This window comes from Homo sapiens, chromosome 7, assembly GCF_000001405.40.
Source record: "Homo sapiens chromosome 7, GRCh38.p14 Primary Assembly".
Taxonomy (NCBI): domain Eukaryota; kingdom Metazoa; phylum Chordata; class Mammalia; order Primates; family Hominidae; genus Homo; species Homo sapiens.
This window is the reverse complement of record NC_000007.14, coordinates 38,392,247-38,412,850: the sequence shown is the minus strand read 5'-3', so window position 1 is coordinate 38,412,850 and position 20,604 is coordinate 38,392,247. Positions and strand designations below refer to the sequence as shown.

The following is a 20,604-nucleotide window of genomic DNA, read 5'->3' as shown; positions in this document are numbered from 1 at the left end:
TGAATAGGGAATTTTTCTATCTTCATTGCCCAGGAGATGTGAGTATTCAGAGAACTGGCAGTGCCCTCTCAGCTGCGTCCTCCTTCCATGTGGTTGTAGAAGGAAAAAGAAGGGCAGATGATCTACAAACATGATACATCCAAATCTGATACAAGTAACTGAACCTAGATCTTTCTCTCTGTCTTTGCAGGAAGTCATAGGGAAGAGATAAAATTAGCCAAGAATAAAGTGAAAGTAACAACACAGTGATCAGTTCCCCCAACCTCACAGAGCAGGTTGATCTGGGTTTGTAGGTGGCCATCTCTGAAATATGGGGCCACTGCTGTTTTGAGATGTGGCTGATATTAAGTATTCATTAACCACCTACCAACTGCTAGTAGCGGCATCTTCCCTGCCTTCTGGAGTGTGATTTCCAAAGCCCCATCTCAAACAGGGCCAAGTGAGACTTTTTAATAAATGTCATTGTTTATTCAGAGTGTTGTTATAAATCTATGTGAACATGAACTCAAGATTCAGGTTGTTCTTCCACTATTGAGGAGCCATTTTTAGGTGATAGATGCCCAGTGACTTTTAAGTATTACTTTTGGCATGTACTTTTCTTCTGAGGTGAAATTCACATAAAATAAAATTAACCATTTTCAAGTAACAATTAACTGGCACTTAGTACATTCACAGTGTTGTACAGTCATCACCTCTATCTCGTTCCAAAACATTTTCATCACCTCAAATCACAGCCCCATAGCCATTAAGCAGTGACTCCCATCTTCCCCTCCCCAGGCCCTTGGTACCTGCCAATGTGCTATGGATTTATCTATTCTAGAGAGCTGATATAAATGGAATCATACAACACATGATTATAAGATGGTTTTGTGTCTGCCTTGGTGTATACTTTTTGTCACATACTAAATCTAGAGCTTTAGCTTGATATATTTAATATGACTAGTTATCATTAGCTTCAGGATAAGAAACTCTTATTCTGTCTTCTGAATATGTATTGGGCCCAATTCATAATCCCTCATTGAAACCATTCCTGGTCATCAACACAATTGGGTAGCCTATGTAAGACCAGACCCATTCAGATGTTAAAAAGACAACTCTGTTGAGATAATAAAGCCCCACCCCAATATGAAGCCCAGTCCCACCCCAGAAATCAGAATTTAGACCTACAAGAGCCTTACAGATGTGTTCTACTTACTGGCTCACTCCTCTTCCCCTACAGGTGGCAGTGTTGGGATTTGTTTAGTCCATGGATAATATGGAACCAACCCCCTAGACCATGTGTGCTGAGTTCTCATTCACTTCTTGCCTGTTCCTGTTCTGTCCATCCCTCACCTGCACGATAGAAAGGCCCTTGCATGAATCCCTCCTGCTAGCCCTCCACAGACATGAGCTGGACCTTAAACATGATCAGGAAAAAGTGCTTGATTTGAGATTAGAGATCCCTTCCTTTTCCCCAGCAAGTTGCCTTGTGTTCCAGCATCGGTGCTCAAGCAGTTCAGATACTGCCTTTGAGGACTACTGTGTGTGTCCTGAAATGAAGGAGTATGATCAAAGAGAGTAAGGTGATAGTAAAGAAGGCCATACTGTGATAAGAGATACTAGGGAGCAGTAGCATTGTCATGCATTCTCTCACAGCAGTCCCGTGAAATAGGATTATTTAGGCATCAGGTCCCTCGTTTTACAGATTAAGAAAACGGACACAAAGAGATTAATTGATTAACCAAGATCACACATCTAGAAAGTAGTGACATGTGATTCAAATCCTGGTATTTTAAGCCATAGCTGTCTATCTCCTGACTACTCCAGATGCTTTTAAAAAGAGGAGGTTTTATAAAAATATATTTATCAACACGTCTCATATCACATCTAACTAAAGCCGTTAGGGTCACAACTTAGGGTCCAAGTGGACACAAAGACTTCCCACAACGAATGCTTAGACTTGATGGATGTTCCTGGTTTGTGGCTGAGGAGTTGAAATGAAACAGAAACTCTGTGCAGCCTCAACCTTGAGCTTCTCAGAGATAATGTGTGTCCTAATCCTCCACTTTGGCGGCAAAGCAAATTTCAAAGGGGATGTATTTGAAAGACCTTGAATTAGGAATATGGGGAACTAACTGCATGGTCAACCAGTGAAGTGGCCTTAGGGAAATCATTTTACCCTCTGTGCCAGTTTTCTCATTCTTCCTTTAAGAGGGTTGTACATGATAACCTCTTCCTGCTCCCCCAAAATCAAAATGTATTACTTTAAAAATTCCTTGTAGTAACAATTCTTTGTAGTAACAAGAGCACCCTGTGTTTATGGCTTTTTTCCAGCCTCTGTTTGCTAGGCCATCGGGATGACATATCATTGTGGAGTGGCTTTTACTTACTAATGCCATGGCCAGTTCAAAGGCTGTGAACTCAGAGGTTGGCAGTCAGGCCTTCCAAGTGTGACTTTCAGCTGCCTGCCCCTCCTCAAGCTTCAGGCCCCACACTGCCATCTGGGTTGGGTCCCAGGTTGCACGGTGAGATATATGTCGTGCTTGACAGGGTCAGGTTTGGGAGTTTTGCCAACAAAGTGTAATGACATTCAGGTGATTTGCAGATCACTGTTTCTCAGTCTAGTCTCTGGGTATGTCTGGCAGCCTTCCCTCTGCCTTCTGCCAACCTGAGCCTGGGCCTGCTTAGGAGAAGGCAGTTTGAGGTGTAACAGCAGGCACCTTACATATCATTCAAAGATGACATAGCCAGCCATAGAAAAATGCTTATTGTACCATAAATGTGTCTTCCTTAAGCAATCTCTTTAACAAACTATTTGCAATCCCCATTGAAGCTGTCCACGGCGGCTGCTCCAAAAACTAGTATGTGCTTATCTCCTCATCTCTGAGAGAGAACAATACATGGTATTTACGTTTGCATTAAAAGATAAGTCCCCTTTTCCTATCCACTTCTCCCCTATGCGTTGCGGATAAATCACTAATTAAAACTTTAAATACTGATCTGTATTATTATTGGATATACTGACACAAACTTAAAGGCCAAATTAACCAAAAATTCATTAACTTTGGGATCTCTGTAGAAGACTTTAATTTTTGAAGAAAGTGATGGAGCTAGTTCTAACAGACGTTGCCATGGCAACAGTGCTGCCTGCAGTTGAGTTGCTCTGGGACCCGGCTGCTGAGGGTTCATGATAGGACTGCAGGCAATACCAGGAGAGCAGATTGAAAAAGATGATTGAGCTGAAGGTTGTGAGGGGGACACCACTAAATTCCTTTATTAGAAAAAAAGCGCATAAATGTGTCAAATGAAATTTGCGGTATCAAGTGCCAGCTTTGAAAGGAACGCTACTAGGGACCGGGGGTACCATGAGAGAGCTTGCCCCTACAGTCACACTGAAGGAAAATTATGACCTGAATTGTTTTAAATATAGTTCACGTGAAGAGATTTACCAGTCACCAGCCTGTGCCATAGTCCAATCATCTTCTATTTGGGGCCATAATGAGGATCTGGATACCCTACCTACCTCTTGGGCTTTTCCTTAAAATGGATTCTGAAGAAAATGCTGTATTTTCATTAAAATGCCAAGGAACTTCAGACAAGTCAAGAGCTCAAGTTGGATCTAGAATTAGAGATGGGCAAGAAAAGGCAATGGTGCCCTGCAGCCAGAATTCCCGCTGTATTTATTCTCCTTTGTTACTTTTCCCCATGAGTTTACACAGCTAGGCCCAAAGGGACTTCCTCCAGCTCCATAGCAAATTAGTGGAAGAGTCAAAACTAAAACCCAATCTCTAGTCTGTCTCTAGTGCTGCTTCTACTTTATAATAGTTCCTCCCTTCTAAAATGAGAACATTGGGCCCTATGGTCCTTCCAGCCATGGGATCAGATTAATCTCTAACTTGTGAACATAGCTATCAATGAAACTTCTAAATGTTCTCAGTTGTAGTTCTGTAGTGCAATGGATCAACTGGTCATCTTTTCCACTTTTCCAGCCTGTACATAACTTAACGATGAAATCCACAGGACAAAAATGAAATCTATAGAACAAATACAGGACAAAATAATGTAGAATAATAAAGTAGGCAAAAGTAATGTAGAGAAATTCTTTTTTTTTTTTTTTTTTTGTGATGGAGTCTCGCTCTGTCACCCAGGCTGAAGTGCAGTGGCGCAATCTTGGCTCACTGCAAGCTCCACCTCCCAGTTCACACCATTCCCCTGCCTCAGCCTCTCTGAGTAGCTGGGACTACAGGCACCCACCACCACGCCGTTGTATCTTTAGTAGAGACAGGGTTTGACCATGTTAGCCAGGATGGTCTCAATCTCCTGACCTCGTGATCCACCCACCTCGGCCTCCCAAAGTGCTGGGATTACAAGCGTGAGCCACTGCGCCCGGCCTAAGTAATGTGGAGAAATTCTATCAAACCAAACTCTTCTTGATATCTTTTTATTGTATAATTTGCTATTGATTAAGAGGCATTTTGTGATATGTTTGCTTTGATGCCCAGATAGTATGTGTACATGAATAAAGAAAAAAAATTATAATCTATGCATCTCACTTTAAAGAGTAGCATTCCAACAATTTAAGTGAATGTATCAACTGTTTATAAGAATACACTCACATTCTTTGTCAAACATCACTTGGGAACCAAAGATTATTTAGGAGGTCTCAGAATTTCCGTGGAACTCCCTTACTTGAGAGATGTGTGGTCTTCTTGGTTATGGGATGGTGTGAGAAAACACAGAATTTAGAGTTAGACAAACTGTTTCAGTCCTTGTTTACTGACTAGGTGAGTTACTTAAACTTGAAGTACTAGTTAATTTTTCTTGAAAATGGGGGAATATTTAATAGGGTTGTTGGAAGAATAATGTGTAATAAATGTAAACCACCTGAGATACAGTCTGGAAAATTGTAAATTCATGATAAATATCCATTTCCCCCTCAGTCTACAGAATGTGCATATATCAAAACTGTCAAGCAGAAACCTGCTTATGAATCAGAATCAGAATTATTATTCTCCATCTTTGGGGTAAATCAGTAAGCCTTGAATTCAGTGGTCCTGTAGTCAAATGTCTCTGTAAGAGCAAATGCCAGGAAGATGGCTGTTCTCTAACTGTAGTATAAAGTGTTCCATAGCCATGGAAGAATATCATTTGGCTAAAATTTAAAATATATATGTCTTTATTCTGTACTTATGGCTTGTATAATTTACCTTAGTGTATATTTAATTTTTTGAATTTTTTTAATTTAAAATTTTTAAATTTTATTTTAGATCCAGAGGGTACATGTGCAGGTTTATTATATGGTTATATTGTGCAATGGTAAGATTTGGGCTTCTATTAAACCATCACCCAAATAGTGAACTTTATACCCAATAGATAATTTTCCAACCTTCAGCCTCCTCTCCGTCTCCACTTTTGGAGCTCCAATGCCTATTATTTCCATCTTTATGTCAATGTGTATCCACTGGTTAGTTTCTACTCAAAAGTGAGAACATGTGGTGTTCTCACTTTTATAGGGAGAAAGAGAGAGAGAGAGAGATTTTCCCTAATAGATTCCTCTCTCTCTGTCTCTCTCTCTCTCTATATAGATAGAAAGCTAGCTAGCTAGATAGATAGATAGTTAGATACAGATATATCTCTATATCTATCTATCTATAGATAGATATAGAGAGAGGGAGAGAGAGTAATTGCTGGATGCTAGATAGATAGATATAGATAGATATATCTCTATAGCTATCTATCTATGTCTATATATTTATACACACACACACACACACACACACACACACACACACACATATATATATATATATATATATATATATAGAGAGAGAGAGAGAGAGAGAGAGAGAGGAGTCTATTAGGGAAAATTGGCTTATGCAATTACAAGGCAAAGTCCCACGATTGGCCATCTGCAAGCTGGGGACAGAGAGAAACCAGTAGCAAGGCTCAGCCTAAGTCTGAAAGCTTCAAACCAGGGAAGCTGACAATGAAGCTCTGTGTGATGCCAAAGGCCTGAGAACCCCCAAGAGGCCACTGGTGTTAAGTCCCAAAACCTTGAGTTTTGGGCAGTAGGAGAGAAAGCAGGCATCCAGCACGAGAGAGAGAGAGAGAGAGAGAGAGAGAGAGAGAGAGAGAGAGAGGGAAAGGGAGAGAGAGAGGAGAGGAGAGAGAACTCAGAGCAAGCAAGCTTATCCCCCTCTTCTACTTGGTGTTCCAGCCATGCTGGCAGCTGATTGGATGGTGCCCATTCACATTGAGGAGGGGTCTTCCTCTCCCAGTCCACTGACTCAAATGTCAGTCTCCTCTGGCACCAACCTCACAGACACACCTAGAAACAATACTTCACCAACCATCTAGGCATCCCTCAATCCAGTCAAGTTGACACCTAATATTAATTATTATAGCAGTCTATAAATTTTATTTATCCTTTTAAATAACCAGCTTTCTGTTTTGTTGATCCTTCGTAAGATTTTTTTTAATTTTCAATTTCATTTAGTTCCGCTCTGATCTTTGTTATGTCTTTTCTTCTGCTAGCTTTAGGTTTGGTTTGTTCTTATTTTTCTAGTTCCTTGAGGTGTGACGTTAGATTGTTAATTTGAGATCTTTATATCTTTTTGATGTAAGTATTTTAACAGTATAAACTTTCCTCTTAGCATTGCTGTTGCTGTATCCCAGAAGTTTTGATATGTTGTGTCTCTATTTTCATTTGTTTCTATTTTTTTATTTTTACCTTAATTTCTTATTTACCCAAAAGTTATTCAGGAGCAAGTTGTTTAATTCCCAAGTATTTGTGTGGTTTTTAGAGTTTCTCCTGGTATTTATTTCTAATTTTATTCCACTGTGGTCTGAGAAGATGCTTGGTATGATTTCAGGACTTTGAATTTATTGAGACTTGCTTTATGGCTAAGCATATGGTTGATTTTGGAGAATGTTCCATGTGCAGATAAAAGATTGTATATTCTGCAGTTGTTGGGTGGAATGTTCTATAGATGTCTATTAAGTCCATTTGGTTAGAAGTACATTTATGTCCAGAGTTTCTGTGTTAGTTTTCTGCCTTGGTGATCAGTCTGATGCTATCAGTGGGGTATTGAAGTCCTCCATTATTATTGTAGTGATGACTATCTCTTTTCTCAGGTCTAGTAGCATTTATTTTATAAATCTGGGTGCTCTGGTGTTGGATGTATATGTATCTCTCTATATATCTACATATATATATATAGGATAGTTAAATCTTCTTGTTGAATTGAACTCTTGTTATGATATAATGCTGTCTTTGTCTTTTTAATGTTATTGGCTTAAAGTCTGTTTTATCTGACATAAGGATAGCAACTCCTGCTCTTTTTGTTTCCAGTTGCATCATATATCATTTCCAGCCCCTTTACTTGGAGCCTGTGGGTGTCATTACATGTTAGATGGGTGTCTTGTATGCAGCAGATGGTTGGGTTTTGTTTTTTTAATCCAATTTTCTAATCTATAAGTGGAACATTAAGGCTATTTATGCTCAAGTTTAATATTGACATGTGAGGTTTTGTTCCTATCATAGTGTTATCAGCTAGTTGCATTATAATCTCAGTTGTGTAATTGCTTTATAGGATGTGTGAACTTTGTACTTATGTGTGCTTTTATGGTGGTATCATCCTTCCCCTTCCATGTTGAGAACTCCTTTCAGCATTTCTTGTATGACCAGTCTAGTGGTGACAAATTCTTTTAACATTTGTTTGTCTGGGAAAGACTTTATTTCTCCTTCGTTTATGAAGCTTAGCTTGACAAGATATAAAATTCTTGGCTGGCATTTTTTTTTTCTTTAAGAAGGCTAAAAATAGGCCCCGAATCTTTTCTGGCTTATAAGGTTTCTGCTGAGAAGTTGACTGTTAGTCTGTTGGAATTTCCTTTGCAGGTAAATTTGACACTTCTCTCTAGCTGCCTTTAAGATTTTTTCTTTAGTGTTGATCTTGGATACTCTGTTGATTATATTTCTTGATGATGTTAATCTCATATAGTACCTCCCAGATGTTCTCTGAGTTTTTTGTATCTGAATAAATACTTCTCTATCAAGATCAGGAAAACTTTTCTGAATCATTCCCTCAAATATGTTTGAGGGAACATACTGCACTCCTTTGAAGGTGTCAAAACACTCTGTCTTTTTGTATTGCCAGAGTTCTTCTGCTGATTCTTTCTCATGTGAAGAAGCTGTCACTTCTTATTTTTAAATTAGTCATCCTTTGGATGGGACATTTAAATTTTTACTCTTTTTTCCCTTGAGGATATGGCTGTGGAGTTTGTTGTATATGATTGTTTGGCTTTGTTTCTAGGTGCTTTCAGGAGGCCAAGGCTCTACATGGGTTCCTTGGTTATGGATATCTGTTGTGTGGTGGCTTTCTCAAACACTGCTTGTTGTAGCAGTATATTGGGTGTATGAACTGATACACTGTCTTCTGTGGGGCTGGGAGTGTGGAGGTCTCAAGAAGTTTATCTCATACATTAGCACTATGCCCTTCTGCAGCAGGTTTTTTATTTGGTCTTCAGTCTCCAGTCCAGTAGGTGGCACTTAAGGATGACAGCTGGCTTACCCTTGGGTAGCTGGATGATGAATGGAGGCACCTGCCCTGACAAGGGTGACAGGAGGAGGATGTGCTGAGCTCTTGGGGATAAGGGTTAGGGGGCTGCAGCAGCTTCCCATCCTAGATAGGCAGGGATGTGATTCACTTTCCTGTTGCAGGACTCGTGACCTTCAGTTCACATAGATGCTGTCCTTTGACTCCAGTCTGCAGTGTGACTGAGGTCTGTGAAAGGACCTCTCTGGTGGCTATCAGCAAAATGGCCTTGGGGCACAGCTTCTTCCCCCAATCCAGAGCAGACAGCTCTGTGACTTGTCTGTCCTCTGTTGCCACCATGCTGCCCACTCTGTTTAGGGAGGGGAAGATGGGCTCTGCCCTTTGTGCAAACCCAAATGGCATAGGCTCACTTTCACTGGGGGTGCGGCCATCTGGAAATGCACTGAAAAGGCTTTCTCCAAGTGCACTTGCCCAAGGCCCCAGTAGGGGAAGTCTGCTCTGCATCCACAATGGTGGGTGGGGGAAGTGGGAAATGGCCTCTTTTCCATGATCTTTCCCAGCCACTGGTGCTACCCCTTTCAGAAATCAGCACCATGCCTGCATTTCCTTTGTTCCAAGGGGCACTTTGGCAGGCCGTATTCCCCCTTCCCTCGGGGCGGCCTCTGCCAAGAGCTAGCTCTCTGGAGTACCCAGAGCTTCCCAGCATCCTCCCTATCAGTCCCCTATCATTGCCAAGTCAGAGTGGGTTCTAAGGTATGTTTGCAGGGGTCTGGTGACACAGACAGGCAGGTTCTTCAGGCAGGCAGTGACCTACACTGGGTGCACAGCCGGTATGGCACCTGCCATTTCAGTGCAGGCCTGCGGGGAGTCCGAGTGCACCTGGAGGAGCTGGCCACTGCTGCTCTGTCCTCAGGAAGTTCTCAGATTGCCACCAACAGCATTGCCGAAGGTCACAAGGGCAGAGGTGCTCTCTGACAATTTAGTGGTCAGCAGTTTGTCACAGAAGGGAGGGGAGTAGAGAAGCACCCCCACCTACCCTTTCTGCCGAATTCTAAGTTCCTTAAGAGTCAGTCTCTGCCAGACTCTCGTAGCTTTCCTTTTTCTACACCCCAGCTTATTTCCATGGGAACTCCAACAGGTCCTGGCTCTCTTCTCTCAGCTTTCCATTCAGATCATGGCCACTCGTCTGTAACTTTGATCCCCTTTCTGAAGAGAACTGGCTTCTGACGTCTCCAGTCAGCCATCTTGGAAAAAACAACAACAACAACAAAAAAACCTTGGAGCATTTTTTTAAAAAAATGAAATTTATCATTGGGATGTGTAAAAGAAGATTCACGAGAAAGCTGAAAACACTTAAAAATCACTCAAAAAATCAGATTCACTATTACTAGTTTTTTTTGTTTTCATTTTAATGATTTTACTCTTAAAGAAAAAACCCAGCATATAGAAAAAGAAAGTCAACATTTCAAAAGTATATTCTAGAAATGTTAGCTAAACCCAAGATAATTTTCCATAAAACAAAGTATAAATGGATCCTTGACGCATAATACCTGAGCCAGGCAAGGGAAAATATCTGAGAGTGTCATCCATCTCCACCCTCGATCAGAGACAACTCGCATCTACCCCGCCATGAGTATGGGATTCCTTTCTGAAGCATCCAGGCCATTTGGGGCCTGCTGCTACTCTCACAGAAGTATATCCTTTGACACATATATTTAGGGGATTCAGAGCAGGTGATTCTATGTCAAGACTTGATAAATCCCTCTCCAGCTCCTGTTCTGAAAAGGATATCTAAGAGTCCCCAGATAGCGAGTAAAATGGAACAAAGAAAATGTTTCCACGTCTACTGTAAACATCAAGCCTATAGAGATTTCTCCTGATTTGAGAAAACTAAGCAAGTAAATACATTTTTAGATTAGCAAACACCTATAGAGCAATACAAAAGAAAAAATAATTATTGCATGCCAGAGTTAAAAGTTTCTTTAGAGAACATGCAACAATAACAAAAATTACCTGACATACAAAGACAAAATTTGAAAATTGCCTTCCTTTTTGTTGTCAGTAAAACTCAAGATGACCTCGATAGGTGAAACAAAAGATGAAGGGTGAGATGATAAGGCAACCATATTGAGAAGAAAAGAAAGTCACTTTGAAAGGCAGATGAAAAGGGAACTCAATAACATGAGAAAAGATTTTAAGGGGAGGAAATGTAATATTAGAATTAAAATTTGCATGAGATGTGGTAAAGACGAGAAGCAACACTATAGAGAATCGATTTAGTGATATGAGGACAAGCTGGAGGAGTTCTCCCAACACATAAAGAGAAGCACAAGCAAAGATGATAGATTTAGGGACCAAGGAGTGAAGATACAGCTCATGGGTAGAAGTTCATCCTGAAGAAGAGACTATAAGAATGTTACAGAAGCAGAAGTGGCCAGTATAATAGAAAAAAACATGCTCAAACTGAAGTTTTCCTAGTTGATGGAATTCCTGCATGTGGATCATAAGAAATCACCAAAAAAAGCAAACTTAATGGGGAGAGACTACATTGAAATGTATTCTTTTAAATATTTGAGTTTAAAGTTTAAAAAAAAAGTTCTGCAAGCATCTAGGTTGGAAATAAGAAAGCACTACAAATGAACAACAATTAGGTTGTTCTCTGACTTATCCATATCAGTACTAAAGGTCAGAAGCTATTAGAACAACATACAAATTTTGAGCACAAAGAAACACAATACAGTAATTCTACCCCAAGTCAATAGTTGGTCATGTAGGAAAGCAGCAGAAAGACATTACCAATTACATAAGGTGCTAGAGACTTTCCATAGAATTCCTAAAAAGCATTTTATGAAGCTATATTGCAATTGACTGGAAGATGACTCAAATCAAGGCAGATAGGTGGGAAGACGTGATAAAGCAAATGTGGTGACATGTCTATTGAGGATCCTAGGTGGTGGGCACTTGGAAGTTCATTGTATGATTCTATGTTTTTGAAATTTTTTAAAAATTTCTTATAATGTTGAGCAGAAACCCCCAAAACATGTTTAATGGAGACATCATAAAGAAATAGAGCAGTGTTTAGTATTTAAATTATTGAAATGTGTAACCTAATAATTGTTGGGTTACAAACCAAAGATCTTTCTCACAGTGTTAGAGTAACATTTAAAAATGAAACCAACTAGTGTTTAATGCTAATAGAACTGTTAAATAACTTGATAAATAGAATAAGCAATAAAGTATTATATATCCATTACTATAACTTTTCTCAGAAACATGACTCATGTTTTGTAAGATAAACCCTTGTATGATTAGAAAATGAATACAACTAAATATATCAAAATGTTACCATAAATTATTTCTTTTATTATTTTAAAATTTGTTAGAAAAAAATTTTTTAATTGCTTTATTAGAAAAATGCCTATGATCAGTTACAATAACCTACTTTATAAATAAGTATGGAATTTCATGCTGGGCAGAAGGATAATGAAAGTATCTTCAATTGTCTCATCCCGACCAGTTGCGTGATTGACACACTACTTTCAGGCATTGGTCAGAGCTAATATCACAAAGAAAACAAGCAAATAAGTAAATAAATGAGTGAATGAATGTATGAATGCATGACATAAACCTCAGAGACGACAAGTTCTCTTGAGCCTATCACTACTCTGACATGTTTGGGGGTCTTGGTCCTTGTTGACCTGCTTTCATAGCACCATCTCATAGCAGGACTGGCTAGTTTCTGTCACCCAGTTGTGTTTCCCTATTTTACATGATTGATAACCTAGGCTATTGTTGCATTTCATTCATGTCATTACATTTCCAGAAAATTTTGCTAAAGCAAATTTAAACTGGTGTTTAGGGGACCCTGGCATGAATGCCATAATTATGTGGCTTTCCACTAAGGAGATGATTGAGACAGAAGATTAGAAAGCAATGAGGGGCTGGGCACGGTGGCTCATTCCTGTAATCCCAGCACTTTGGGAGGCCAAGGCAGGTGGATTGCCTGAGGTCAGGAATTCAAGACCAGCCTGGCCAACATGGTGAAACCCTGTCTCCACTCAAAATACAAAAAAATTAGCCAGGTGTGGTGGCAGGTGCCTGTAATCCCAGCTACTCGGGAGACTGAGGCAGGAAAATCGCTTGAACCTGGGGGGCGGAGGTTGCAGTGAGCCAAGATCACACCATTGCACTCCAGCCTGGGCAACAAGAGTGAGACTTCATTTCAAAAAAGAAAAAGAAAGAAAAAAGAAAGCAATGAGGTATGTATGGTGCAGAGAGCCACCACCTACTCTCTCCAGAAGGTTTTGTGCTGGTCGCTGTGATTTCTGTGTGATGGACAGGCGGTTTAGCAATACTCCTAGTTTCTGCACCTCATAGACCTCATGGATATAGTAAATATGTGCCCAAGGTCAAGGAGAACATTTTTAGTCTCTGTTTGCAATAGCTGTTTCCCCCATAAATATATTTGACCAATAGATAGTATAGGTTGGGCAGAAGATAGGATAATTGTGTTTTTCTGAACATTTAGAGTGAAGAGAAACATTTGATAGCACTGGGTATGAAAGGCTTGAAGTACTTTCAGCAGATTCAGTCCCTGGTCTTTGTGAGTAACATTTTTTAAAAAGCAAATGGTAGTCATTTATCATTGTGGTTTTTCCTAGCAGGTATAACATGTACTGTAGCAAGCAGAGCATAGAAAATGTTTTTTCTTTTATAGCTCTACAAATAGCTAACAAATTGAAATGCATGACAACAACAATAATAATAAGAGGTATAACTTTCATTGATGAAAACCTTTTTACTCTTTCCTTGATTTTATCTACAGCTAACACCTAATCTGAACAAATGGGTTCCTGTTTTCCATTGTATTTTTATGTTGTTCTATTCTTGCGGTCAGTAAATACGGCATTGGAAGTATTTTGGTAAGAGCAAAACATCTGGACCAGATTCCAGACATAAAGGGAGGACTGATGCCCCCTGATCATCAGACTAGTGTCAGAAACAGAAAGCTATGAGGATACGCAGATAGTGGATGATCCTTCTCTGTTTATGTAGTTTTTAAGCCCTGTAAAATCAACGTGGTAAGTAAACAGCAGCTGGAAAAATGGGAATTCATTACTAATGGACTCAAAGTAGGGTGTAGGAGTGTTGTTTGTTTTCCAAGTAGATCATTAAAATTGTTTGGCTTCTCTTTAAAGTCTAAAGTGCCAATTCCTTAGCACCTTACCTTTGCCAGAGTTGTTAATTTCGGTATTTTCCTGATATTTATTTATCATTCTTAAAATTCGTTTTCTGCATGCTGCAGTTCTTTTTTATGTGACAAAAATCACAGCTGAGGTGCTGAGGCTGAGGTATTTGCTCCTACAACGTCAGGAACGTCAGAGCAGTCAGGCAGAGCCTTTGGCCGCCACCTGCTGGTGGTTGGTGTCACAGCAGCTAATACCTGTTTTTTATTATTTTATTTTATGTTTATTTTTAACTTTTGTGGGTACGTAGGGGGTGGATATATTTATGAGGTACGTGAGATATTTTGATACAGATATATGACATGTAGTAATTACCTCAGGGTAAATATATCTATCACCTCCTTAAGCATTTATCCTTTTTTTGCATTATAATCCAGTAATATTCTTTTAGTTATTTTAAAATGTACAATAAGTTATTGTTGACTGTAGTCACCCTGTTTGTGTTATGAAATACTAGGTCTTATTTATTCTTTCTAATTATTGTTTGTGCCCATTAACCATCCCCCCTACTTCCTCACTACCCTTCCCAGCCTCTGGTAAGCATCCTTCTACTCTCTGTCTCCATGAATTCAATTGTTTTACTTTTTAGCACCTAGAAATAAGTAAGAACATTCAAAGTTTGTCTTTCTGTGCCTGGCTTTTTTCCCTTAACATAATGACCTCCAGTTCCATCCATGTTGTTGCAAATGACAAGATCTCATTGTTTTCTATGGCTGAATAGTACTCCATTGTATATATGTATCACATTTTCTTTATCCATTCATCTGTTGATGGATACTTAGGTTGCTTCCAAATCTTGGCTATTGTGAATAGTGCTGCAATAAACATGTGAGTGCAGATACCTCCTTGATATATTGATTTCCCTTTTTTTTTTGTTTTTTTTTTTTTGAGTATATACCTAGCAGTGGGATTGCTGGATCATATGGTATCTCTACTTTTAGTTTTTGTGTTTTTTTTTTTTTTTGAGGAACCTCCAAACTGTTCACCATAATAGTTGCATTAATTTACATTTCCACCAACAGTATATGAGGTTTCTTTTTTCTCTACTTCCTCGCCAGCATTTGTTATTGCCTGTCTTTTGGATAAAAGCCGTTTTAACTGGGGTGAGATGAGATCTCATTGTAGTTTCGATTTGCATTTCTCTGATGATCAGTGAGGTTGAGCACCTTTTCACATACTTGTTTGCTATTTATGTCTTCTTTTGTGAACTGTCTATTCAGATCTTTTGCCCATTTTTTAATTGGAATTATTAGATTTTTTCCCCATAGAGTTGTTTGAGATCCTTATGTATTCTGGTTATTAATCCCTTGTCAGATGGGTAGTTCACAAATATTTTCTCCCATTCTGCAGGTTGTCTTTGTTGATTGTTCCCTTGGCAGTGCAGAGGCTTTTTAACTTGACGTAATCCCATTTGTCCATTTTCGCTTTGTGTGCCTGTGCTTTTGGGATATTACTCAAGAAATCTTTACCCAGTCCAGTGTCCTAGAGAGCTTTCCCAATGTTTCCTTTTGGTAGTTTCATAGTTTGAAGACTTATATTTAAGTATTTAATCCATTTTTATTTAATTTTTGTATATGGCAAAAGATAGGAGTCCAGTTTCGTTGCCTGCTTAAATTATCTAGCAAAGGAAAGGTGATAACATGTATATTTAGTGATGGTAAAATCTTATACAACCAAATTGATAGATATCTAGAGACAAGTTACAGGTTAATAATAAACATTATGTTCGTATGGAACAAGTTTAAAAAATCACCTGTGGCAACACCATCTATAGGTCATGGAAAGATATCCTCTCCCAGAGATGTAGTATCAATTCAACTGAGACTAAAAGCCAATTAGTAATAATGTGTGGTTGGAACATATATGTATAAAAGGATTTATGCATAATCACTTGGGAGAGTAGCCCATGGAATAACATCCTGTCTGCTTTTTCATCTGTAGCAGTGCCTCTGCTGCATGTGTGTGTAGTGGTGGTGTCTGCTGCTCTGTTTGTCCATACCGTCTGCATGTAGATAGAGTCCATCTGCTTCCAAGCTGTTGAAACTAGTGGGATATTCATAGGTGTGATTTTCCAGACAGATGGAGAGAATAAGCTTGTAATCATGACACAACTTATTTTCTACATTTGAGCTCATAAGTTTATTGCATGCACATTTTCTTTCAGTATAGTTTTTAACATAGAAGAAACTTTATTAGGTCCTTAGTGTCGTAGAGAAATCCTGTTAATGTCTCCGACAATAAAGCTATGAGCAATTGCTCCTTGTTCTTCTCAGGATTAAGATGCCCTACTAATTTATGTTCTGATTACTATTCTCTTGACAACAGTAACAATAGCATCCATAAAAAGGTCGGTGCTTATTTAAAACAGTGATGAAAGTCTATTCGATTTCAAAATAAACTTTTTATTATAGGAATTTTCAGCCATTTGCCAAAATATAAACCCTCATGTACTTGTTACCCCACTTCAATAATGATCAGCATTTATAATTCACTTTAAATAAGTGTCTGTTACAATTCATGAGAAATCATTACTTTTGTGAACCCATATTGTATTAGTCCATTTTCATGCTGCTGATAAAGACATACCTGAGACTGGGCAATTTGCAAAAGAAAGAGGTTTATTGGACTTACAGTTCCACATAGCTGGGGAGGCCTCACAATCATGATGGAAGGCAAAGAGGAGCAAGTCACATCTTACATGGATGGCAGCAGGCAAAAACAGAGCTTGTGCAGGGAAACTCCCATTTTTAAAACCATCAAATCTGGTGAGACCCAGTCACTATCATGAGAACAGCATGGGAAAGACCCACCCCCATGATTCAATCATCTCCCACCAAGTCCCTCCCACAACACATGGGAATTATGGGACCTACAAGATGAGATTTGGGTGGGGACACAGAGCCAAACCATGTCACATGTACTTTCATGACAGGGCAGAAAGAAGGAAGTATGTCATGGCTAGGGATTGCACATTTGGAGAGCCACATCCTCGTAATAGGAGATTCTCATAAGAGAGGGAAATAAGTTTCTAAGAATATGAGTAAATACTTGGACATATAATGAGTAGTATAGCTGTTAACATTTCTTTTTCATTCCCAAATAAAATATTATCTTATAGAAAAATGTACTGTATATATTCTGTAACAGGCATTTTTATTTAAACTATTACCTGTACCTTTGAGCCAGCAGAAACGTTTTTAAAACTGCTTTGTTATAAGTGTAGATGTGTGGTTCATGTTCTTCATCTCCGATTTCTGATGCTCACTCGGAGGTACTCTTCATTGTCCTTTTCTGTTTTCTGAGTTTGAAAGTTAATATTTGCAATATTAGGGCCTTCCTAACTTAAGATGTTGAACTGGATAGAATGTATTCAACAAAGAAAAAATAGTTAATCCTAATCCCATCAGATAGTAAGAGCCATTTTTGAAATATGTGTCCCGGATATATTATATAAGATCAACCTGAGATTCTTCTAACATAGTCTTTCTCACGTGAACCTCTCAAATCAAGTCTGCCAAGCTGATGTTGTCAGAATCCTGTTTAAAGAGTTGGACTCCAACCCATTTGTTCAAAACTAAAATTTCTGATTGCATTTCCTTTATTTCATTATCTCAAATTTTAAATAGTACTTAAAACTCTTCTTCTGTGTTTCTACCTTAGAAAGAAAATTCTGACTTTTTTCTATTTCACTTCTCCTTACTGGACCTAAACTATGATTTTGGCATTTTGCCTATAACAGGCTCTACAGCTATTTGGAGCATTACCATGCATATTTGATTACAAAAATGATTTCCCCTTCATTCTCGAGGGTTTTCATTGAGAAAGCTTCCTTATGTATTTTTTTTTCCTGTGAAAGTGATTTGGCTTCTGGAACCTTCCTCACAAAGATTTGAAAGTTTATACTAAAATGCACTCTTTCTAAATTTTGACTTTGTGTGATGAGGATGCTTTTCTGATATGGCTTTTCTCTCTGACCCAGGCCACTTCCATCCTGTGACCCAGATGTGCCATGTAAATCAAAAAGTGACCAAGGCACGTCTTAGTCATGGAGAGGCTTATTTAGCCAAGGTTAAGGATGCACCCAGGAAAAAGAGACACGAGTCAAAGGAGGATCTGTGACGTGTGCTTTTTCTGAAGAGAGTTTTGAGAACTTCAGTATTTAAAGGGGAAATAGCAAGCAAGAAGGAAATAATTTTTTTAAAAAGAGGGTGGTTAGGCAATGAGGCAAGTGTCACATTCTTGTGAGGCTCTGATTAGCGCTCAGTGAATCTACATTTTACATGTGAAAAGAGGGAGTGGGGACAAACTCACTCATGCCTTCATCTCATGCTCTGTAGTTCTGCATGTTACATAAGATGAAGGAAGTGTGTGAAATTACAGCCCTGTGTTTGGGAACAAAAGGAAGGTGGTTTTCGTGTGACTCCGTTCCCAAGCTTAGCTTTCCTTTGGCATGGTAAGTTTAAGGTCCCGAGATTCAATTTTATTTCTTTCACTCCCCTAAGGCCTCATTTGTTGCTTCCAGCCAATAAAAATGGAAATAGCTTGTGGAGAGGACCACCTACACCTTAAAAGCCATGTCTTTGGAATGGTGTATGTCACTTCCATTCTAATCCCATTTGCTACACCTGACAGCAGGGAAAGCTGAGGAGTGTAGAATTGTTGGGAGCTCAGCAGAAGAGAAGTCGGAGTGTTGATGAATAGATGGCAGATTCTGCTGTACCTAAATCCTGGGAGTGCAAAGAATGTTCCAAATCTGAATAGCCTCCACAGAGGGGAGATTAGAAATAGGCTTGAGTTTGACTCCTGGCAGAGGCCCATGGAGATGCAGACGTGGCCTGCTGGTTTCTGCCCTGCAGATCATACCTGGAGCTGATGCTGATGCAGCTGTTGGAACCTTGGTGTCAGCAGCTGAGGGGGCCCCAGGAGAGGAAGCAGAGGCGGAGAAGGCCACTGTCCCTGCCGGGGAAGGAGTAAGTTTAGAGGAGGCCAAAATTGGAACTGAAACCACTGAGGGTGCAGAGAGTGCCCAACCTGAAGCAGAGGAGCTCGAAGCAACAGTGCCTCAGGTGAGTGTCCCATGTCGCAGCCAGGGGAGCTCCTGGGAAGTAGCATGGGCTGGGTGCTCTGTTGGTTGGTTCATGGTGATAACTCTTTGGATGTATAATAGGTTTGTAGCAATTTTGTGACTCCACCAAACAACATTATTATCAGATTCTCAGAAAGACTAATCCCAGCTGCTCAGTATCAGCATTGCAATGTTGCATATAGGCCCTCAGGGCCTGTGGCTGACTGGGCCTAAGCATGGAAACGGGAATGGGAAACTGGGGTGACGTGGAGAAAGGAATGAAGCAGGACAGTGAAAAGGATGAGAATGGAGCCGGGAGAAAGAGAATGTGATGAAGTGAGCACTCAGCCCAGGGAGAACTCAATAGTATTTAGATCTTATTATTCTTATTACTGTTTGGTGGTTATTATTATCATTAGAGTGCCCCAAATTCACCATCAGGCCCCTTTTACCAAGAGCCCACCACTGGGTGGCACTTTGAGAAGGGAAACAAAGGGACCAGGGCCATTAGGTCCGTGCATGAGGCGGGAGGGGGCCCTGCTCGGCACTGCCTCAGAGCAGCATTGAGAGGCCACAAAGCCACATACTCTACCACTGCGAGGGCCTCCAACCCCAGGGCCTGCCTCCATTGTCTGGTTCTTCGGTATTCTAGAAGGCAACATTAAGAGAGGGCTTAATGGTATGCATTGTTTTCTTCTGATGATTTTACTCCCAATAAGTTTTCAAAAATTTCTCCAGGGTTACTTAAAACTTGAAACTGAATTATCCCTTTCATTATCCCTTTTTGGGCTGGGGGCTGAGGCAGATAACAGTGTTATGGGAGAAGGAACTTAAAAGAATATTCCTTTTTCCCCTTAGATTTTCTCATCACAGTGCCCAGAGTGTTTTTGTGTATGTTGTTCTACTCATGGAAAGACGGTATTATCTCTCCAAGTTGACGAATGTTAGTGCTCTAGTCTGCTGATAGCAGAGGGAATATAGAAAGACTCCCGTTCTGCTGATGAAACTCCCCTCCATGCTCATCTTTGTTAAACAAATGAAAGGGTGGTCCTAATCCTTTGGTTCAGACACTAGAGTACTTGGAGTGGATTGTGGAGGTGTGGTCCCTCCAGCGGCCACAGCAGTGTGGGGCTGGAATGATAATCACAAGCGAAGGACTAGTGGATGATCTCCAAACCCCGGCTGGATCTTCATCAGCAAGCATGGTTCAGGCACTGGGGGCCTCCTGGGACTGGGGGAGGGGAGGAAGGGGCTCACAGGAGGTGAACTGCCAACCGCAAGAGTTAGGGTTCCGTGGGACAAGAACCAGGCTGGCCTGCGGGGCTGGGCGTGGTGGCTCACGCCTGTAATCCCAGCACTTTGGGAGGCCGAGGTGGGCGGATCACGAGGTCAGGAGATCTAGACCATCTTGGCTCACACGGTGAAACCCCGTCTCTACTAAAAATATAAAAATTAGCTGGGCGTGGTGGCAGGTGTCTGTAGTCCCAGCTACTCGGGAGGCTGAGGCAGGAGAATGGCGTCAACCCGGGAGGCAGAGTTTGCAGTGGGCTGAGATCGCGTCATTGCACTCCAGCCTGGGCGACAGAGCAAGACTCTGTCTCAAAAAAAAAAAAAAAAAAAAAAAAAAAGAACCAGGCCGGCCTGCATTGACTCCTCCTGCAATCCCTCTCAGGATGGCCTCCCTCACCCTTCAAGACTCTGTCTCCCATCCCCTATCCCTCCTCCCAATTCCCACCGAAACCTCATGCTTACCAAACTG

At 40.2% G+C, this 20,604-nt stretch overlaps 1 protein-coding gene across 7 annotated transcripts in view, besides 10 other annotated features; it reads left to right on the top strand.

Annotated features, from left to right (window-relative positions):
• Positions 1-20,604, top strand: part of AMPH (amphiphysin) — a 247,670-nt gene that overhangs the window by 218,523 nt on the left and 8,543 nt on the right. For all 7 annotated transcript variants that reach the window (XM_006715690.5, XM_011515271.4, XM_017011996.3 and 4 more), the window contains one exon: positions 18,637-18,846. In XM_006715690.5, the coding sequence (XP_006715753.1) occupies positions 18,637-18,846 (210 nt within the window). The remainder of the gene's footprint in view (positions 1-18,636; positions 18,847-20,604) is intronic.
• Positions 3,570-3,739: an enhancer, noted in NCBI's record as "experimental_98550 CRE fragment used in MPRA reporter constructs". NCBI's record gives its function as "activates a minimal promoter by MPRAs in K562 erythroleukemia cells, with activity observed for both the introgressed and non-introgressed 7:38448797 variant alleles {active_cell/tissue: K562}" and the evidence as "EXISTENCE:reporter gene assay evidence [ECO:0000049][PMID:34662402]".
• Positions 6,367-6,536: an enhancer, noted in NCBI's record as "experimental_98548 CRE fragment used in MPRA reporter constructs". NCBI's record gives its function as "activates a minimal promoter by MPRAs in K562 erythroleukemia cells, with activity observed for both the introgressed and non-introgressed 7:38446000 variant alleles {active_cell/tissue: K562}" and the evidence as "EXISTENCE:reporter gene assay evidence [ECO:0000049][PMID:34662402]".
• Positions 9,311-9,480: an enhancer, noted in NCBI's record as "experimental_98547 CRE fragment used in MPRA reporter constructs". NCBI's record gives its function as "activates a minimal promoter by MPRAs in K562 erythroleukemia cells, with activity observed for the non-introgressed 7:38443056 variant allele {active_cell/tissue: K562}" and the evidence as "EXISTENCE:reporter gene assay evidence [ECO:0000049][PMID:34662402]".
• Positions 16,243-16,412: an enhancer, noted in NCBI's record as "experimental_98545 CRE fragment used in MPRA reporter constructs". NCBI's record gives its function as "activates a minimal promoter by MPRAs in K562 erythroleukemia cells, with activity observed for the introgressed 7:38436124 variant allele {active_cell/tissue: K562}" and the evidence as "EXISTENCE:reporter gene assay evidence [ECO:0000049][PMID:34662402]".
• Positions 17,613-17,782: an enhancer, noted in NCBI's record as "experimental_98540 CRE fragment used in MPRA reporter constructs". NCBI's record gives its function as "activates a minimal promoter by MPRAs in K562 erythroleukemia cells, with activity observed for both the introgressed and non-introgressed 7:38434754 variant alleles {active_cell/tissue: K562}" and the evidence as "EXISTENCE:reporter gene assay evidence [ECO:0000049][PMID:34662402]".
• Positions 17,613-17,873: a biological region, named in NCBI's record as "Neanderthal introgressed variant-containing enhancers experimental_98539 and experimental_98540".
• Positions 17,704-17,873: an enhancer, noted in NCBI's record as "experimental_98539 CRE fragment used in MPRA reporter constructs". NCBI's record gives its function as "activates a minimal promoter by MPRAs in K562 erythroleukemia cells, with activity observed for both the introgressed and non-introgressed 7:38434663 variant alleles {active_cell/tissue: K562}" and the evidence as "EXISTENCE:reporter gene assay evidence [ECO:0000049][PMID:34662402]".
• Positions 18,146-18,315: an enhancer, noted in NCBI's record as "experimental_98538 CRE fragment used in MPRA reporter constructs". NCBI's record gives its function as "activates a minimal promoter by MPRAs in K562 erythroleukemia cells, with activity observed for both the introgressed and non-introgressed 7:38434221 variant alleles {active_cell/tissue: K562}" and the evidence as "EXISTENCE:reporter gene assay evidence [ECO:0000049][PMID:34662402]".
• Positions 18,823-18,872: an enhancer, noted in NCBI's record as "active region_25872". NCBI's record gives its function as "activates an Ori minimal core promoter by ATAC-STARR-seq in GM12878 lymphoblastoid cells {active_cell/tissue: GM12878}" and the evidence as "EXISTENCE:reporter gene assay evidence [ECO:0000049][PMID:35858748]".
• Positions 19,500-19,669: an enhancer, noted in NCBI's record as "experimental_98536 CRE fragment used in MPRA reporter constructs". NCBI's record gives its function as "activates a minimal promoter by MPRAs in K562 erythroleukemia cells, with activity observed for the non-introgressed 7:38432867 variant allele {active_cell/tissue: K562}" and the evidence as "EXISTENCE:reporter gene assay evidence [ECO:0000049][PMID:34662402]".